At 43.0% G+C, this 18,102-nt stretch overlaps 1 protein-coding gene and 1 non-coding gene across 4 annotated transcripts in view, besides 5 other annotated features; one reads left to right on the top strand and one right to left on the bottom strand.

Annotated features, from left to right (window-relative positions):
• The window catches only part of CEP43 (centrosomal protein 43), a 53,322-nt gene extending 46,337 nt beyond the window's left edge, over positions 1-6,985 (bottom strand). For all 3 annotated transcript variants that reach the window (NM_007045.4, NM_194429.3, NM_001278690.2), the window contains exons 1-5: positions 6,868-6,985; positions 6,269-6,322; positions 3,135-3,189; positions 2,571-2,659; positions 1,981-2,118 (exon numbers count right to left, since the gene is read on the bottom strand). In NM_007045.4, coding sequence (NP_008976.1) covers positions 1,981-2,118; positions 2,571-2,659; positions 3,135-3,189; positions 6,269-6,322; positions 6,868-6,969 — 438 coding nt within the window. In that variant the 5' untranslated portion in view covers positions 6,970-6,985. The remainder of the gene's footprint in view (positions 1-1,980; positions 2,119-2,570; positions 2,660-3,134; positions 3,190-6,268; positions 6,323-6,867) is intronic.
• Positions 6,524-6,613: a silencer, noted in NCBI's record as "silent region_17790". NCBI's record gives its function as "represses an Ori minimal core promoter by ATAC-STARR-seq in GM12878 lymphoblastoid cells {active_cell/tissue: GM12878}" and the evidence as "EXISTENCE:reporter gene assay evidence [ECO:0000049][PMID:35858748]".
• Positions 6,624-6,783: a silencer, noted in NCBI's record as "silent region_17789". NCBI's record gives its function as "represses an Ori minimal core promoter by ATAC-STARR-seq in GM12878 lymphoblastoid cells {active_cell/tissue: GM12878}" and the evidence as "EXISTENCE:reporter gene assay evidence [ECO:0000049][PMID:35858748]".
• Positions 6,874-7,393: a silencer, noted in NCBI's record as "silent region_17788". NCBI's record gives its function as "represses an Ori minimal core promoter by ATAC-STARR-seq in GM12878 lymphoblastoid cells {active_cell/tissue: GM12878}" and the evidence as "EXISTENCE:reporter gene assay evidence [ECO:0000049][PMID:35858748]".
• Positions 7,684-7,913: a silencer, noted in NCBI's record as "silent region_17787". NCBI's record gives its function as "represses an Ori minimal core promoter by ATAC-STARR-seq in GM12878 lymphoblastoid cells {active_cell/tissue: GM12878}" and the evidence as "EXISTENCE:reporter gene assay evidence [ECO:0000049][PMID:35858748]".
• Positions 8,454-8,503: an enhancer, noted in NCBI's record as "active region_25444". NCBI's record gives its function as "activates an Ori minimal core promoter by ATAC-STARR-seq in GM12878 lymphoblastoid cells {active_cell/tissue: GM12878}" and the evidence as "EXISTENCE:reporter gene assay evidence [ECO:0000049][PMID:35858748]".
• Positions 8,470-8,575, top strand: MIR3939 (microRNA 3939). The gene has a single exon (NR_037504.1). It is a non-coding gene; the product is annotated as a microRNA 3939 (primary transcript).

Here is an 18,102-nt window from a genome sequence, read left to right as displayed (position 1 = left end):
CACCGCGCCCAGCTAATTTTTCTATTTTTAGTAGAGATGGGGTTTCACCATGTTGGCCAGGATGGTCTCCATCTCTTGACTTCATGATTCGCCCACCTCGGCCTCCCAAAGTGCTGGGATTACAGGCATGAGCTACCGCGCTCAGCCTATCCGAATATTTTCAATTCGCAGTTAATTGAATCCACTGATGCCTACTACAGTAACACACAGAGTCCTCCGTGCCAAGCACTGTGCTCAAAGCTTCACACATCTTGCTTCCTCAGACCCCCTCCAGACCTGTAGGCGCGATACTTCTGTGATCTCCATGTTGCAGATAAGGAACCTGGGCACACGGAGGCTGAGTGACTGCAGGCTCACAGAGCTAGAATGTAGCAGAGCTGGGGTTTCACCCAAGTAACCTGGTTCCAGAGTCCATGCTAGTGGTATGTTAAGGAAGAAAGATCAATCTAGACAGAAAAATATGCATAAACACCACTGCAATGAGGTGAGCCAAAGCACAACTACTAAACAGAAAAGAAAATGAAAGGGCAGTTAGAAAGAGAAGAGAGTTCTTCAGGGCCACAGAAGCCGAGAGGGGAAAGCCAATAAAGAGAGGTCATCATGACCTACAGACTGCTGGCCCCAGGAGACTGGGTTCTTTAGTTTGTTTTTGATTGCCCAGTACCCAGCACAGTATCTATCAAATAAGCGCACAATAAAAGCTTGCTGGATATTGATAAATGAAGGAATGAAATTATATGCACAAGCTGAAGTGACAACCTGCGCTCTGGGTGAGCCGCCTCACTCCCAGCCAGCCTGGGATCTGGCTATGCTCTCCTGCTCCCACGCTTGGCTGGCACCGTTCCAACTTCTCGGAAAGCCCTTCCCAATCCTCGCCCCACAACTGACATCCTACTCTCACTTTAAAATTGACTTCAATAAAATTTTGGCATGTGACAATCGCTTCCTCCTCTAAACTATTCATAATATGGTTGGAAATAATGTGTTAAATGACAATTCCTCCATAATCTTAAACTGTTATTTAAATGTTAATTTCCTTATTTGAGCACATTTTATCTTAAATAGCTCTGCGCTATTCAGAGACACAGAAGTTTCTTATATTTTATCTTATAGTACCCACAAAGTCTATTTACCATGCCTTACACATAATTAGTACTCAGGCAAGCTTTATCAATTTTCAAAAATTCTAATAGAAAACATCCTCTGAGACTCACCAAAGAAAATAACTGGAAACCTATACAGCCCTCCACATTCTTACCTATAAATTTCTGACTAAAAGCTCACATTTAATCAAATATCTGGAACAGTTACAGATGTTACCTGTATCTATAAAACAGAGTATCTTCATGTAAAATTAATGTATGAAAATAAAATTATATCATTAATCTCATTAGCACAATTTCTAAAAAAAGGTTAAGAGTATGAAAAGTACTACTGATCAAAAAAGTGTAAGTTTGAACTGTTTCTAAACAGCGTAAAGCAAAATCAACAGCTTAGTTTTAAGCCTAAAGAGGCCTTTAAGTCCAAAAATTTATTAACTATCCTATAAATCAGCCCTTTTATATTTAAATAAGATGTTTTAATAAAAATAATAGCAAGTTGAGTGCTTCTGTTGGCTTATGCAGAGAAGCCTCAGAACACCAAGGTAGGGCCTGGTAGAGCCCACTTCATACACAGTATGGAATGAATGGAGGATCAAGTGAGGCAACGAGGAGTTGGGATTTGTTCCAGACAGTTTAGCTCATGACCCAACACTCTTGAGGATCAAAAACCAGAACAGATATGCCACAGAATCACAGTCAGCACATTCCTAATTTTCATTAAAATTTGCATTGATACAATCTGAATGCATCTCATTTTGTTTTTAAGGAATATCTTCTAGTATGAAAACCTTAATTTACTATATATGCACTAATCTGCATGGCTAAACTAAGCAGCCAATAATTAAAATAGAAAAAGATAACACAGAATTCTACTTACTTCCCCAGTGGTTGGCCCTTTTTCTTTCTGTTGACAGCGCCTGATCACTTCTAATAATAAGGGTCCACCCACAGTACCTTCTGCTTCAATTATACCTAAATCTCGGGCTAAATTCTCTCGACCTTCGAGACCTTGCAGCTAGAAAAGAAGTTAAAATACAAGTGCACAAAAAAATAGCAGAAGTTATTCTCAAGGAGTAAAGAAGATATTTTCAGAGTTTAAAGACATCTTTAAACTCAAAGAGACTGTCTTACTAATGAATGAAATGTCTATTTTAAAAAATTATGCCTATTTCTTTTACAGAGCCTCTACCTTCAACGTTTCCATTAACAGGTGCACTCTAACATCGTATCAAAATTAACTCTATAGTAACACTTTTATTAGCAAGCTTTCAAGTAACACAAAGCAGCAACACTGGTGCCAGCTATCTGAAAGCTCATATGGCTTTTAAGAAAAACAGATAATCAACTACCAAAAATAATCTAAATGTAAAAAACTATCAGTTGTCAAATTCTATTAACTTTCAGCTTAATATTAACTCATTTGTATCAAAGGTTTCAAAAGATAGATGTAAAAATCATTATTCTTACTGTGCTAGTTTCAGGTTGAAAAACAGCCAAAGTAAAGTCAAGGTTAAAAAACTGAAGAAATTCTGCAACAAGACTAGCCACTAAACGACCTATAAAGATCAAGAAAAAGGTAAGTAAGCAAATCTTCAAAAACTGAATTTTTTAAATTAACATTATGAAATAGATACACTAAATTAATGGAAGAAAGGTTTCTAAATTTTTTAAGTTACAAATTTCCTCTTTGAATAATATGATTAAGTAATGAAAATCTCAATCTCCTGATTTTTTCACTGGGATCATCAGTCTGTAACTAACTGTAAGACAATCATCTCATAGATTTCAGTGTTTCGCTTTTTAATGGTTAATATTGGCTTTTTGTAGTAAAACTGGCTTTAAGCAACAACATCCCAAATCCAAAAATATGTAATAGCAACACGATTGTTGTACAATAAAATATTATTTTAAAATGAGGACCTATAACAATTGAAGACAAAAAAAAAGCCCTGAAATTCCTGATTTCTCCCAAATGGTATCAAGATTCAAAAATTCAGAGATAGATAAACAAGAACAAACTGAACATCTTACCGTCTTTGGTATTTAAAAACTTTTTCAGGCTCTCATTAACTAAAGGAGTTTTGTTCTGTTAAAAAAAAAAAAATTTAAGTGTCATGTGTTTACCCTAAAAACAACTACAAAATATAAAGTTTAACGTTTTCATTGATAAAATTATGGTTTTACAAAATCCATTCTACAACTGTTAATTACTACAGGACTTACTTTGTGCTATTTAGTAATTTCTCAAAGTTAATATAACAAAACCATATATGAAGATTTGTATTTTTAATTTTTAAATGTTTTATAAACTGCTTTTGAAGCTAGATATTTTCAAATACCTGTGTGAAATACAATTAAATGTCAACAACTGTTTATTATTTCAAATACATGAAGTTTGATAAAAGTTTTGTCATCTCAGGTATCTACCATTTATAGCATACTTACTATGAACAGGAATTTAATTATACACTTGTAATTCCCAGTTTATCCATGAAATGTGAGATGATCTTATGCGGCCCATAGGCCAACTTATTTTTGTAATTATACATTTATTTGAATAAGTATGGAAAAAATACTTCTAGACCATCAAGCCTGTGATTGTTGCTGAGAAGAGGCTACAGTAGGTAGCACATGGTAAGCTTCCTTAAGACCACATTAATTGCTGCTACAGTGGCAGCCTCATACACTGCTGATGGGAATGCAAAATGGCATAACGAGTTTGGACAGCAATTTGGTAGTGTTTCTTAAAAGTCACAAATATTCCTAGCATGTGACCTAGTCACTTCACCTCTACATATTTTCTCAAGAGAAATCACAGATCCAAGCAAAGACTTGTATGTGACTGTTCACAGAAACCTTATTTGTAATACTCAAAAACTGGAAACAGCCTAAATGTCTGTCAGCAGGTAATGGCTAAACTGTCATATCTGTACAATGTATTAATGAAATGATTTATTAATACATACCACAACATGAATGAATTTCAAATGCATTATGTTGAAGAAACAGACCAAAAAAAAAGAGTACCTACTATACGATTCCATTTATATAATTCTTAAAAAGGTTTGGGGTGGGGGAGAGGGTTACATAAGGGGCACAAGGAAAACTTTTGAAGGTCAAAAGTTTGAAGGATATGCGCAGTACCTTGATTGTGATGATCATTTCACAGCTGCATAAATTAACTATTAAAAATCAAATTGTACATATTAAATACTTTAGCTTTACTATAGGTCAATTTTACCTCAATAAAGTTGTTAAAATAAAAGACAAGGAGAGGAGAGATCCTCAAGGTAGTTGGTAGGCTGGTTCAGGGAATTCTAAGATAGGGAGTCAACTGAAATATTTTAAGAGAATGGAGGGACAGATCAGATGTGTACTATAAACAGCCAATCTAGGAGCAATGTGGAAAAAGGACTTCAGGGAGATGGTGAGGGACACCACGGAAACGGAGACTGGCAAGTAGGAAGGGGATAAGGCAATCTGGAAAAGAAGAAACAAGCACAAAGGAGGCAGCAGAGCACTCCCTTGGGGACACTTCAGATACACACCTGACAGACACAGAGCCAGGTGATGGCTGAGCAGGTGGAAAGAAGAGCAAGGCCTAAGAAACGCTTAGATTTCTTGCCAGATAAATGATGGTCCCATTAAGGGCATAATACAGTGGGCAGTTTAACATACAGGTCTGAAGCTCGGGAAAGAAACATGCATGAAAGTTACAGGGCTGGAGTTACTGGATGAATAAGGTCAGTCTGTGAGACAGTACAGAATGACAACTGTGGATAAGTCTCAGTCAGGTGTACAGGAAAAAGATCATGCTAAAGAAACCAAGGAGTGGTCAAAACCAGGTTGTGAAGGAAAAAAACCACAGCGGTATTAAAAGCAGAATGTGAGTAAAGGAAAACAGTTTACTCCTAATAGTTATTTAAACATGTTTTCAAGCTCAAAAGAAAAGCCATCAGAAAAGGAAGGGGTCAAAGATACAGTAAATAATTAAAGACTTGAAAGTATACACAAGACAGAGTGATTATTCTTGGACAGGACAGAGCCTCTTCTTCTAAAGCAGTAAGGAAAGAGGTACAGATAAACATAGACACAGGTAAGCATTTTCACAGGTGAGCAATAGATTGAGGGACAGGAGAGGAGGACATAAAGTTAGGATCTAATGGCTTCTACCTTCCCTGTGGAGGAAGCAACAAGACCATGTGTTCAGAGAGAAGGAAGCAGGGGTGACATAGAAGGCTACTGCACAGCTAGGGTGAAGAAGAGAGCTGCTGGGCCTGCTCAGGACCTAACCAGGTTGGTACCTGCCAATTTGCAACATCAGCAATCCACAGGATTGACTGACTCTTCTCCAAGAGCACATATGTGCAAAGTGGGAAGAGTTAGTTTGCTGGGTTAAATGACCACTGAGATTTCTTCCAGACCACGTATGACCGTTAAGGCAAGGTAATTAGGGGTCCAGACCCATAGGGTCCAGAGCAAAATGCTGCCAAGAGAAGACTGATGCCTGCACAGACATGGAAAGGGCAAAGAACTGAAGATTTTGATGAAATTAGAGATTAGGTATACAGGTCTAAAGAAGTGAGAGGACAGTAGACTGATTTGTCATACAGCAAGAGTTTAAGGCTTTGATGATGGTTCTATTCTTGTTGACAAATTCCAGAATATTTACTCAGGATGGTTGGTGGGACTCCGAAAAAGTTAAATTACCCACTTAAATATAGAGTAGTGGCTGCACTTTTAAAATAATCGCTGTCTTTTTCATTGTCAAAATAATTGAGTGGTCAGATAATTTTGGGAAAAGTTGCATACTATATACCCCGTTTCATAGGGATTAATAACATATTAGCTTACTAAAGGATCTGAGTGAACCTGCACTTAACACATTGACAATGGCACCATTTCTTCAAGAAACTCCTATGACCATTTGTTTCAGATTAAGCATTAGTATCAGAGTTACTGTGGTACCTTAAGATTACCCCCAAATTCAAAAGCTACACGAAAAAAGAATAATTTTGGCTCTCTCTCAATAGTAATGTAATCCTTAACAGTTCAAAATTATCCCTAGCTATATGTTACTATAAACTATTTTTAAGACGGTTTTTAATGAATAAGAAATTAAGTATTAACGAATACAGCCATGTTAAAATCTGGAAACTTCATACCTCTACTTTTTCTTGCTCCTCTAGTGCTAAAAACACAGCTGCTCGGAGTTCAGCCTTAAAAAAAAGTTAAGAAACAGGAAATTATAATTTCAAGACAATTTTCACAACAAGCTCACATTTATCCAGCAACAAACACGAGCAAGCCAACGAGCTGGGAGGGCAGGTGCAAAGGTCAGAAACGCCTTCCGAAACGTTCTCAGTCACACAAGCTCTCCGACCCCCAGGCTTCGGCTGGACGCGCTGCTTTCCCGCCGCGGATCATGCCCGAGCCTGAGGAAGAGACGCTGGGGCCGCACTCCAGGGCCCAGCTGCGGGCCGCCCGTGTGGCCCCCAAGCCCCGCGGTCCCGCCCCCACGGAATGAGGCAGGGGATGGGCCAGGCACCCCCAGTCCGCGGTGCCCTCCGGGACCACACGAACGAACGAGCCGACCCCCTCTGTGGGGCGGGCAGGACGGAGGCCATGCCGGGGCGCGCCCCCAGTGCCCGCCGGCCCCGGTCCCTCGCCAGGGAGGCGGCCTCCTCGCCGCGACCGTTGTGACGCCCGCTGTCCACGCAAGCCCTGCGGATCCGCCAGGCCCGGCCCCAGCCTCCGGCCTCACCTTGATGCGGTTCAGGACCCCGCTGTTCTCCAGCGTCTGCACCAGCAGGTCCCGCAGCTCCGTGTCCTCCTCGGCCACCACTGCGGCCGCCGTCGCCGCCATCTTGCTTCTCCAAGACAACCGCCGAAGCCGCGCTAACGGCCAACGGCCGCAGCAGGGTACGCTCCGCGCGCGGGCTACGCGGCCGACGCAGCCAAAGCCCCGCCCCGACGCGCAGCGCGCTGGCCCTGCCCCCTGGCGTCGGGAGGCGGGGCATAGAGACCTCGGGGTTGACGCTGGACACCGAGCCTTGGGGAGCGCCGGACCACTGAGCGCCGAAACTTAGGGTCGGCGCTGGGGGCGGGGCTGCGGGGCGCGGGTGGGCACGCAAGGGGCGGGGCGTCGGCGGGGCCTCCAGCCGGCAACCCGTTGGCTGCCGTCGCCTGAGGCGCGAGCTTTGAAGCCGGCGAGCGGTGAGGAGGAGGCGCCCTCGCGTGTGGAGAGCGGACTCCGCCTGGACTCCACCGCCCACGGCCGCATCCCATCGCCGCACAAGATCGCCGGAGTCATATTATCGACGTAGTTAAAGCCCACTAGCCTAAAGCCGGGCGGACTGCGGTAAGGAGGCCCCGAGACCGAACCTGCAGCCCCTGCAGCCCCGGGGGGGCGCCGGGGAAGGGACTCCCGAGAGGTCGCGAGGGGCGGAAGGCCCTGCAGGTTGTCACCCGGAAATAACGTTCTGAGGCCCCCCAGCCAGGCGAACGCACCCTGCTCGGCCACGGCCTCCGAGGCTAACCGGAAAGGTGCCAGGCCGAGGTGCAGGGGCGGGATGGCCCCAGGAAGAGCCGAGGGCCGAGGAGGGCGTTGGGTGGGCTCCGCGCTGCCCGAACTGGGGCCGCAGTCTCCACTCCCTCCTGCCCCGCGGCCCTCCGCCGACAGCCAGGCGCCGGCGGGGAGTCCTGGACCCCTCCCGGGCCCTGGAAGCCCCGTCCCGCCGGAGCTGACGCGCCCTCTTGGTATCCATCCGGCCGCCTGGGCTGCCCCTCGCCCCTCGCCTTGGCAAAACCAGCCCCCGGACCGAGCCCTGCCTTGGAGAGTGTGGGTGCGCAAGGCCAGCCGAGCTGTCGGTTCCGGGGTTTCGGGGTGCGCCACTGTATGGCGGCGTAAGCCGAGAAGTGTCCGAGGCCGGGCTCCAGCAGTTGAGAGGCTGATTTGGCCACGGTGAAGGACGCGCCCGGAGGAAGGAAACGGGAATCCGAAACGGGCGGTGGCCGCGCCTTTCCCGAGGCCGGCGTCGAGGGCTTCAGCGCCTCAGGGTGGGCGGGAGGGGAAGGTCGTGCGACCCGCGTGGCCGGCGGAAAGGAGCAGCGGGAGCCGCGGCCGTAGGGAAGCCACGGGAAGACGGGCGGCTGCGCTGCGATGCGCGGCCCTCTCCCTGAAGCCCTCGGCTCAGGCGCCACAGGAAAGGCTCCTTCGGGCAGGCCTCAGCTTTCAGCTTAAGTTTTTTTCCTTTGGCCGAGTCAACTGCGGTGCCGAGTTGTATTTTCCTTTCAGAGGTGTGTCCGAGAACCATTCTTAGGAGACGCCTGCCGGCCGCTTTGGGATAGGGCCTGTCTGCCCATGCTGGCTTCCAAAGGCCTCTGTGTGTTCCTGTATGTGGGCGTGCACGTACCTGTCACATGTGTACGCGCAGACCACAGGATGTCCACACTGGCTTCCAAACACATCTCTGTGTTTCTGTCTGTGAGTGTGTACGCAGGTGTCAAATGTGTACGCACAGATCACAGGGTGTCCACACTGGCTTCCAAACACGTCTCTGGGTTCCTTTATGTGCGTGTGTATGCACTTGTCATGTGTACACACAGATCACAGGGCATCCACACTGGCTTCCAAACATGTCTCTGTGTTTCTGTCTGTGGGTATGTACACACATATCACATGTGGAAGAGGTAGGAAGAGGCTGGAACAGGTAAGGGTCATGAAGGTGCAGTGCACTATTGTACTGTTTGCGCTTTATATGTGTTTGGTTAGTTTTGCAAGAACATGCTGGTGAAGGAGAGAGAACCCCAAACAATTGATTAGCAGTGCTACTGAAACTCAGATATACACAGGAATGGCAAAGAAACATCTATGAAAAAAAGCAGATTCTGGAACTCCATCTCCCTGAGATTGTCACTCATGGGGTCTGCAGGAAGTTTCAGGAATCTGCATTTTCTTCTAATAAACGTGGTCCACAGGTTATAAGTTGAGATACAAATAGAATATATAAAGTAAAAAAGGAAAATTTGAAGTTTCCTGCCTAGCCCAACTCTTCTCATTGGTAGTGTCTGTTAAATTGGAAACATATCTCTTTCCAGACATATTAATACCTTTTATACAGTTGACTCTTGAACAACATTAGTTTGAACTGCGTGAGTACACTTATATGTGGATTTTTTTCAGTAAATGGAATATTTTTGGCGATGGCAACAATTTTGTGAAAAACCTCACAGATGAGTCGCTTAGCCAAGAAATATGGAAAAAAAAAGAAAAGAAAAAGCTAGATATGTCATGAATGCATAAAATATATGTAGATACTAGGCCATTTTATTATTTACTATCATAAAATATATACAAGCCTGTTATAAAAAGTTAAAATTTATCAAAACTTACACGTACAAACAGACAGTTACATGGCACCCATTAGGTTCAAGAGAGGTGTAAACAGTTGTAAAGATGCAATATTAAATAATAACTGCATCAAATTCACTGTAGTACATAGAGTACTACTGTAATGATTTTGTAGCCACCTCCTGTTGCTATTGCAGTGAGCGTCAGTGTTGCTGGTATTGGCTAAAAATTCCAAGTAACATAATCATCTCTGAGTGAGCAGTTGATCTCTCCAGTACATTGCATATCACAGTAAAAGGTAAGCTCTTGAGGTTCTCACATATTTCTCGTTGTGTTCACTGCAGTACTGTAAACCTTGCGTAACACCATGGGACCATTACGAAGTGCCGCTAGTGGTGCTGGAAATGCTCCCAAGAATCAGAGAAAAGTTAATGACATTACAGAAAAAGCGGAATTGCTTGCTGTGTATTGTAGATTGAGGTCTGCAGCTAAGGTCGCCTGCCATTTTAAGATAAATGAATCCAGTATAAGGACTGTGGTATAAAAACAAAAGGAAGTTTATGAAGCCATCGCTGCAGCTACACCAACAAGCATGAAAACCTTGCACTTTTTGGGAAATACCTTTTTATCTCATATTGCAAATGCAGCTTTTTGTGGGTGCAGGATTGCTATGAGAAAGGCATACCTATATAATCTAATATTCAAGAAAAAGTGAAGTCATTATCTGACAAAGCAAAAGGAAGATGAAGGAAGGTATGATAATTTTAAAAAGTGGGTTGGCTTTCAAAAAATGTCAAGATAACAGGAGAAGCAGCTTCTGCTGACCCAGATGCAGCCGACGAGTTCCCAGATACCATTAAGGAAATTATTGAGGACAAAAGGCCAGGCTTTGTGGCTCATGCCTGTAATCCCAGCACTTTGGAAGGCTGAGGTGGGTGGATTGCTTGAAGCCAGGAGTTCGAGACCAGCCTGGCCAACATGGCAAAACCCTGTCTCTTCTAAAAATACAAAATTTAGCCAGGTGTGGTGGTGCACATCTATAATCCCAGCTACTGAGGAGGCTAAGGCATGAGAATCGCTTGAACCCAGGAGGCAGAGGTTACAGTGAGATTGCACCACTGCACTCCAGCCTGGGAGACAGAATGAGACTCTCTCAAAAAAAAATAAATAAAAAATAAAAATAAAAAAAAATAGAGAAAATCACTGAGGAGAAAAGATATCTGCCTGAACAGGTTTTTAAGGCAAACGAAAATGCCCTATTCTGGGGGAAAATAGTGCCACAGAGGATATTTATTAGGAAGAGAAGTGAACATCAGGATCCAAGGCGGGAAGGGATGGGCTAACTGTACTGTTTTGTGCAAATGCAGCCAGATGTATGATCAGGACTGCCCTTATCTATAAAATTGAGCCTTGAAGGGAAAAGAAACACTGCCTGCCACTCTTTTGGTTGTACAGCAAGATGGCTGAGCAGCAACTCTTTTTCTGGATCAGTTATATAAATGCTTTGTTTTTAAAGTCGGGAAGTACCTTGCCAGTAAGGGATTGCCTTTAATGTTCTTTTGATATTGGACAATGCCCCTGGCCACCCAGAACCCCATGAGTTCAATACAAACACATTGAAATGGTCTACATGCGCCTAAACACAACACCTCTAATTCAACCTCTAGATAAGGGAGTCATAAGGACTTTAAGGATCATTACACACAGTACTCTGTGGAAGAGAACCCCAATTGAGAGAATATCATGAACGTCTGAAAGGATTACACCATTGAAGATGCCATTGTTGTTTCAGAAAAAACCATGAAAAGCCATCAAGCCCAAACAAATTCCTGCTGGAGGAACTCCAGATGTTGTGCATCACTTCACAGGATTTATGACAGAGCCAATCAAGGAAATCATGAAAGAGATTGCAGATATGGCAAAAAAGGTTTCAAGATACAAATCTTGGAGAAATTCAAGAGCTAAGAGACACCACACCAGAGGAATTAACAGAAGACCACTTGATGGAGATGACTCCTTCTGAACCCAGTGCCAGACGATGAGGAAGAAGACGAAGCAGTGCCAGAAAACAAATTGACATTAGACAATCTGGCAGAAGGGTTCCACTTATTCAATATGGCTTTTGACTTCTCTTATAACATGGACTTTTCTATGAAACAGGCACTGAATCTAAAGCAAATGGTGGAAGAAGAATTGGTGCTAAATGGAAACATGTTTAGAGAAATGGAAAAGCAAAAAAGTCAGACAAATTATGATGTATCTCCATCAGATTACACTTATTGTGCCTCCCTCTCCTGCCTCCTCTTCCACCTCTTCTACTTCTGCCACCCCTGAGACAGCAAAGCCAACCCCCGCTTCTCAGCCTATTCAAGGTGAAAATTATGAGGACGGAGACATTTATGATGATTCACTTACACTTAATGGAGAGTAAATATATTTTCTCCTCATGATTTCCTTAAAACGTTTTCTTTAGCTTACTTTATTATAAGAATACAGTATATAACATATGTAACATACAAAATTGTCGAGTGCGGTGGCTCACATCTGTAATCCCAACACTTTGGGAGGCTGAGGCAGACGGATCACTTGAGACCAGGGGTTTGAGACCAGCCTGGCCAACATGGCGAAACCCCGTCTCTATTAAAAAGATAAAAATTAGCCAGACATGATGGTGCGTGCCTGTAATCGCACCTACTCGGGAGGCTGAGGCAGGAGAATCTCTTGAACCCAGGAGGCGGAGGTTGCAGTGAGCCGAGATTGCACCACTGCACTCCTTGCCTGGGTGACAGAGCAAGACTCCATCTCAAAAAAAAAAAAGTGTTAATTGTTTATGTTGTTGGTAAGACTTCCGATCAACAGTAGGCTGTTACTACAGTTTTGGGGGATGGAATTTTGACTGTGAGGGTCTGTGCCCCTAACCTCATGTTGCTTAAGGGTCAACTGTACATAGATATGTTACATACACACACATACTTCCTCCCTCTCTGTAATTTGGATCCTATGCCTATTATCTTTTAGTTTACTAACTTGACTTAAGAAGTCCTGATCATTTTTTGATGTTCATGCATACCGTATAGATCCTACCTCATTTGACTCCTACAAAATATTTGTTAAGGGTGTTCTAAAAGTTACTTTTTGTAGTTAAACTACACTTTATTTACATTTGTTTGTTATGGAAATAATGCATAATAATCGTTAAAAATCCAAACAAAAGGGGGGAACATATTAAAAGAAAAGTAAGGGTCTCCCTGCTACTCTACCTACCTACCCACCTACCTTATCTGTTACCATATCCTAGACCCAACTGCAATTAACAATTTCTGGTTTTAGTTCTTCTGGTTCTTTTCATTATAACCTTAAATACTGTACATATACATCTTGACTCACCAGCTGAAAATCCTTCAAAGGGACAAAAACTTATTCTTAACTCCTAATTTAAAAAATTGTATTACTTTTAGTTTTGCTAGAAGCTTTCATGACTTTAGGTTGTTTACCTAAATCATTATTTATAAATTTTACACACTGTATATTGGCTCCCTACTAGGAGAGGTGAGGAATTGGTACATTCTTACTTTCTCGTCTTTTCCCCTCCCCCTCCTAATTTTGTTAGTTTCATTCTCATTTTTAGTCTGTCAAGAATTTGCATTCTTTTTGTAAATAAAATTACAGACATCCCTTGGTATCCATGGGGGATTGGTTCCAGGACCTCTCGTATACACCAAAATCCACATACACTCAAATCCCACAGTTGGCCCTGTGGAACCTGTGGATATGACCATTCGCATCCCAAGAATACTGTATTTTCCACCTATTCTTGGTTTCAGTTGTGGAACCCACTGATATGGAGGGCCAACTGTATATATTGAAAACAATTTGCATATAAGTAGACCCACACTGGTTCAGACCCCTGTTGTTCAGGGTCAGCTCTATATCTTTCCAACTTTGTGCATTGATTGAAAAACCAACAACAGTATGATATTAGGGCTATAACAGATCTGTTAGGCCAAGCCCACATGCCCCTGAACAGAACATTCTGCACATTGGGCCAACTTCCAACTGCCGGCACCTGAAGTTATTTGCATTATCAGCTATCTTTGTCCACCAGAGCCTGCTCTGCCTGCATTTTGGGAAGACCTAAAGTGCCAAGGAATTAACACACCCTGCAAGTATGCTCAATTGAAGGCAATGAATAGAAAAAGACCCCTGACTCCTTCACCCCTGGATTTCAGGGAGGTAAATCCAAGATGTATGCTAAGGAGGTGACACTTAATGTCAGACACACACACCTGTTATGAGAGTTTCCTGATTGAATAAGAAAGAGGCATTCCAGGCAGAAGTACCCGAACATACAAGAGTGCAAGACCAAGAGGCTAAGGCAGATTGCTCTGTGCAAGAAGTGGCAGGTAGTGTGGCGTGGCTGGAGATGAAGAAATGACTGGATTGGGAAGGACTTTATCCACCAATCTAATGAATTTGACTTTCATCTTGAAGGTGTGAAATAGCGTGCTAAACAAGTTTAAAAGCAAAATGTCATTAGCCTATTTGTATTTAGAAAGAGCACTCCAGAAGCAAGGAGGGGATGGGTGAATTGGATGTACTGACACTGGAACAAGGAAATTATTCCAATAGTCCAGGAAAGAAGAAGGACATCAACTAAAATTGCACAAGTGAACATGGAAAAAAGAGGATGCGTCTGAGAAATATAAATATTGGCCGGGGCGGTGGCTCACACCTGTAATCCCAACACTTCGGGAGGGTGAGGTGGGCAGATTGCTTGAACTCAGGAGTTCAAAACCAGCCTGGGTAACATGGCAAAACCCCTCTCTACACAAAATACAAAAATTAGCCAAGCGTGATGGCATGGCCTGTAGTCCCAGTTACTCAGGAGGCTGAGGTGGGAGGATCACTTGAGCCTGGGAGGTTGAGGCTGCAGTGAGCCATGATCTCGCCACTGCACTCCCACCTGGGAGATAGAGTGGGACCCTGTCTAAAAAAAAAAACAAAGAAATATAAATATTGTATTAGGGTTTACCAAAGAAACAGAACCAATACGATATATGTATGTATACGGGTATATATATAAGGAGATTCATATAAGGAACTGACTCACAAGATCACTGAGGCTGGCAAGTCTACAGGATGAGCCAGCAAGCTGGAGACCCAGGAGAACTGATGGCATAGTTCCTGACCAGAGGCTAGCAGGCTTGAAATCCAGGAAGAGTCAGTGTTTCAATCTGAGTCTGAAGGCAAGAAACAAGCTGATGTCCCAGTCAAAAGATCAGAAGGCAGGAGAGATTCTTTCTTACTCAGGGAGGATCAGTTTTTTTGTTTTATTCAGGCTTCTAACTGATTGGATGAGACTCACTCATATGTTAGGGAGGTCAATTTGCTTTACTCAGGCTATCCATTTAAATGTTAATCTCATCCCAAAACACCCTCATACACACACCCAGGATAATGTTTCAGCAAGTATCTGGGCACTCTATGGCCCAGTCAAGTTGACACATAAAATTAATCACAAATATGTTCCAGTAACTTAGTTTTTAAACAACTAGATTCTTATGAGAATAAACTCAGGATAGGATAGGGGAAATGCTTTCTGGCTTTCCACTTGCATATTCTTGGAATGTCACTTTTTCTTAAATGTTAAAAATTGAAGGCCAGGCATGGTGGCTCATGCCTGTAATCCCAGCACTTTGGGAGGCTGAGGTGGGTGGATCACGATGTCAGGAGTTCCAGACCAGCCTGACCATCATGGTGAAACCCCATCTTTACTAAAAATACAAAAAAATAGCTGGGAGTGGTGGCGCGTGCCTATAATCCCAACTACTCAGGAGGCTGAGGCAGGAGAATCACTTGAAACCTGGGAGACGGAGGTTGCAGTGAGCCAAGATCACGCCACCGCACTGCAGCCTGGGCAACAAGAATGAGACTCCATCTCAAAAAAAAAAAAAAAAAATGAAAATGTGTCGTTAATCATCGAGATAGTCTTTCAGTCTGCACTCAGTAATATTAATGCCTTCTCATTGAAGTCATCTATTCTGTTCCCATAAAGATCAGGATAGTTTAGGTAGTGGTGAATAAATAAGGTTCTCAATGGCCTATTAGTTTTTTTAAATGTTCAAAAGATAGTAGCATGTTGGGAAAAGAGATGAATTCCACATTTCTTTTGGTACAGTACAACTTACTGAAATTGCTTTCTTATTTCAACAAGGATTTACCAGGTTGTGTGTAGTGGTTAAAAGCATGGACTTTACAGCCACATTACATGGGTTCAAATCCACTTACTAGTTATGTTAACCACAGGAAGTTAGCTAATGTCTCTCTGCCTCAGTTTTCTGTTTGTAAATTAGGATAAAAATCTCCGTAGATGTGAATATGTATAGCTAGATAGTAGATTGTATTCAAAATCCCAATCATAACATAATAAAAATATTAACTATTATTAGTTGTTTTGAATATACAACCTAATTTCATTTTCTCCATGATCTGAGCATGTTGAGTTATTTTTAAACAACTCCATTTTACAGATGAGACAGTGTTCCAATAAGCTAGGTAGTATGCCCACAGACACACAGCTAGCAGCTGAGATGAACCACCCAAGTCTATTTGGTTTTCAGCTCATGTTCTTTTCATGATATTTTGCTTTCTCTCAATATTTATAGAATTTAATTTAATTGACTAGAATTAAACTAAGAGAAAATGATTGAATGAAGAGATGCAGAAGGCAAGAGATAGCAAAGGTCATTCTGGGCTGGGCATGGTGGCTCACACCTGTAATCCCAGCACTTTGGGAGGCCTAGGCGGGTGGATCATCTGAGGTCGGGAGTTCAAGACCACCCTGGCCAACATGGTGAAACACCCCCGTCTGCTAAAAATACAAAAATTAGCTGGGTGTGGTGGCAGGCGCCTGTAATTGCAGCTACTCGGGAAGCTGAGGCAGGAGAATCGCTTGAACTGGGGAGGTGGAAGTTGCAGTGAGCCGAGATGTGCCATTGCACTCCAGCCTGGGCAGTAAGAGCGAAACTCCGTCTCAAAGCAAAAAAAAGAAAAGCTACCTTTACCAAAGACAGTTAAAATGATGGCCACCAAGGGGCAGTGTGCAGCAGGCAGAGAAGGTGGCTTTTTAAATTATTTTTCACTGCCTGCTGAGACAAAGATGTTACACCAGAATATGCCACCCTAACATATGCTTCTTTGGCATAAGGATTATTTTGAGCTGAAGACGATTGAGAAGAAACAAATAAAAGAAAAACTCTGCCTTCCCTTTCTTTGCCTAAAGGCAGGACATGCTAGTTAATGATCAACCCCTGACCTAATCGGTTATGTTACCTATAGATTACAGACATTTTATAGAAAAAGAAAAACACGGTGAAAATCCCTGTCCTGTTCTGTTCCATTGTAATTACCAGTGCATGCAGCCCCCAATCACATACCCACTGCTTGCTCAATCGATCATGACACTCTCATGTGGACCCCCTTAGAGTTGTAAGCCCTTAAGAGGGAAAGGAATTGCTCACTTGGGGAGCTCGGTTTTTGGAGACGTGAGTCTGCTGATGCTCCCAGCTGAATAAAGCCCTTCCTTCTACAACTCGGTGTCTGAGGGGTTTTGTCTGTGGCTACAAACCTGTCTTTGGCCAGTCTAATTTACAGGACCTCAGCCAGAGAACTAAGATGGGTAGAGGCAATACAGGAGATAGAAATAATTTAGGTAGGTAGATAGGGTGAAAGAGTCCCTGACAAAAGCTTTTCTTCTGACAAAAAACAGCTCAGAAATTACTTCCATTCTAACCACAGGCAGTCCAAATAAATCACTTCTCTTTTAACAAAGAGCAGCCTGGAAGATTGGACTGTATAATGTAGATAAGCATCTCCGGCACAGAGGGAGAGTTTCTTGGGTAGTCACCAAACTTACATAAATGGGTCCCAGTAAAAACAGTAGGCTTTAATGAGCACATTCCTTTCCCCTTTTTTGGACAGGGACACACTAAGGTTAGCTAGAAGCTTGCATGGTGGGGTGGGGGAAATGCCTGCAGCTGCAAGGAGGTACCCAGGACAAGGCATGGAAACTCCCCCTATTCTTGTTAGCACATGCAAGGTGGAAGGAGAAAGGCAGTGTGGAGTCGCCCAAGCTAAGAGCCTGCCTGCATGATAAAAGAATGGGGTAGGGGCTGCCAGAGATTCCACTCTATACAGATGACACACCTGGTCCTAACCAGGTTTTCATGCCCTATGTAGATAAGATACCCGCTCCCTACTAGCTCGTTGATAAAAACCCTCCATTTTACTGCAGCACGGCAACCCGTCTGGGACCTCTCTCTGTGAGAGAGAGCTGTCCTTTTCCTTTTGCCTATTACACTTCTCTAACTTCACCCTTTGTGTGTCTGCATTCTTCATTTCTGTGGCCATGAGACAAAAAACCTCAGCTGATATCCCAGACAACAAGGCTGCTTTAGAGGGAAAACGGATAGCTAATATTATCAGTTAATTGGCTATGTTAATTGATACCTTCAAATTAGGTGTTTTAAAATAAATGCTGAGAACAATATGAAAGTGTTTTTCTTTTACTAATTCTCTGAGGATTTTGTTATTTATTTAGCTTTACAATGCCTAGCCCCCTTTATAAATGTAATTATTGTGTTGCTA

Source organism: Homo sapiens, chromosome 6, assembly GCF_000001405.40.
Source record: "Homo sapiens chromosome 6, GRCh38.p14 Primary Assembly".
Taxonomy (NCBI): Eukaryota; Metazoa; Chordata; class Mammalia; order Primates; family Hominidae; genus Homo; species Homo sapiens.
This window is presented reverse-complemented; position numbering and strand designations above follow the sequence as displayed.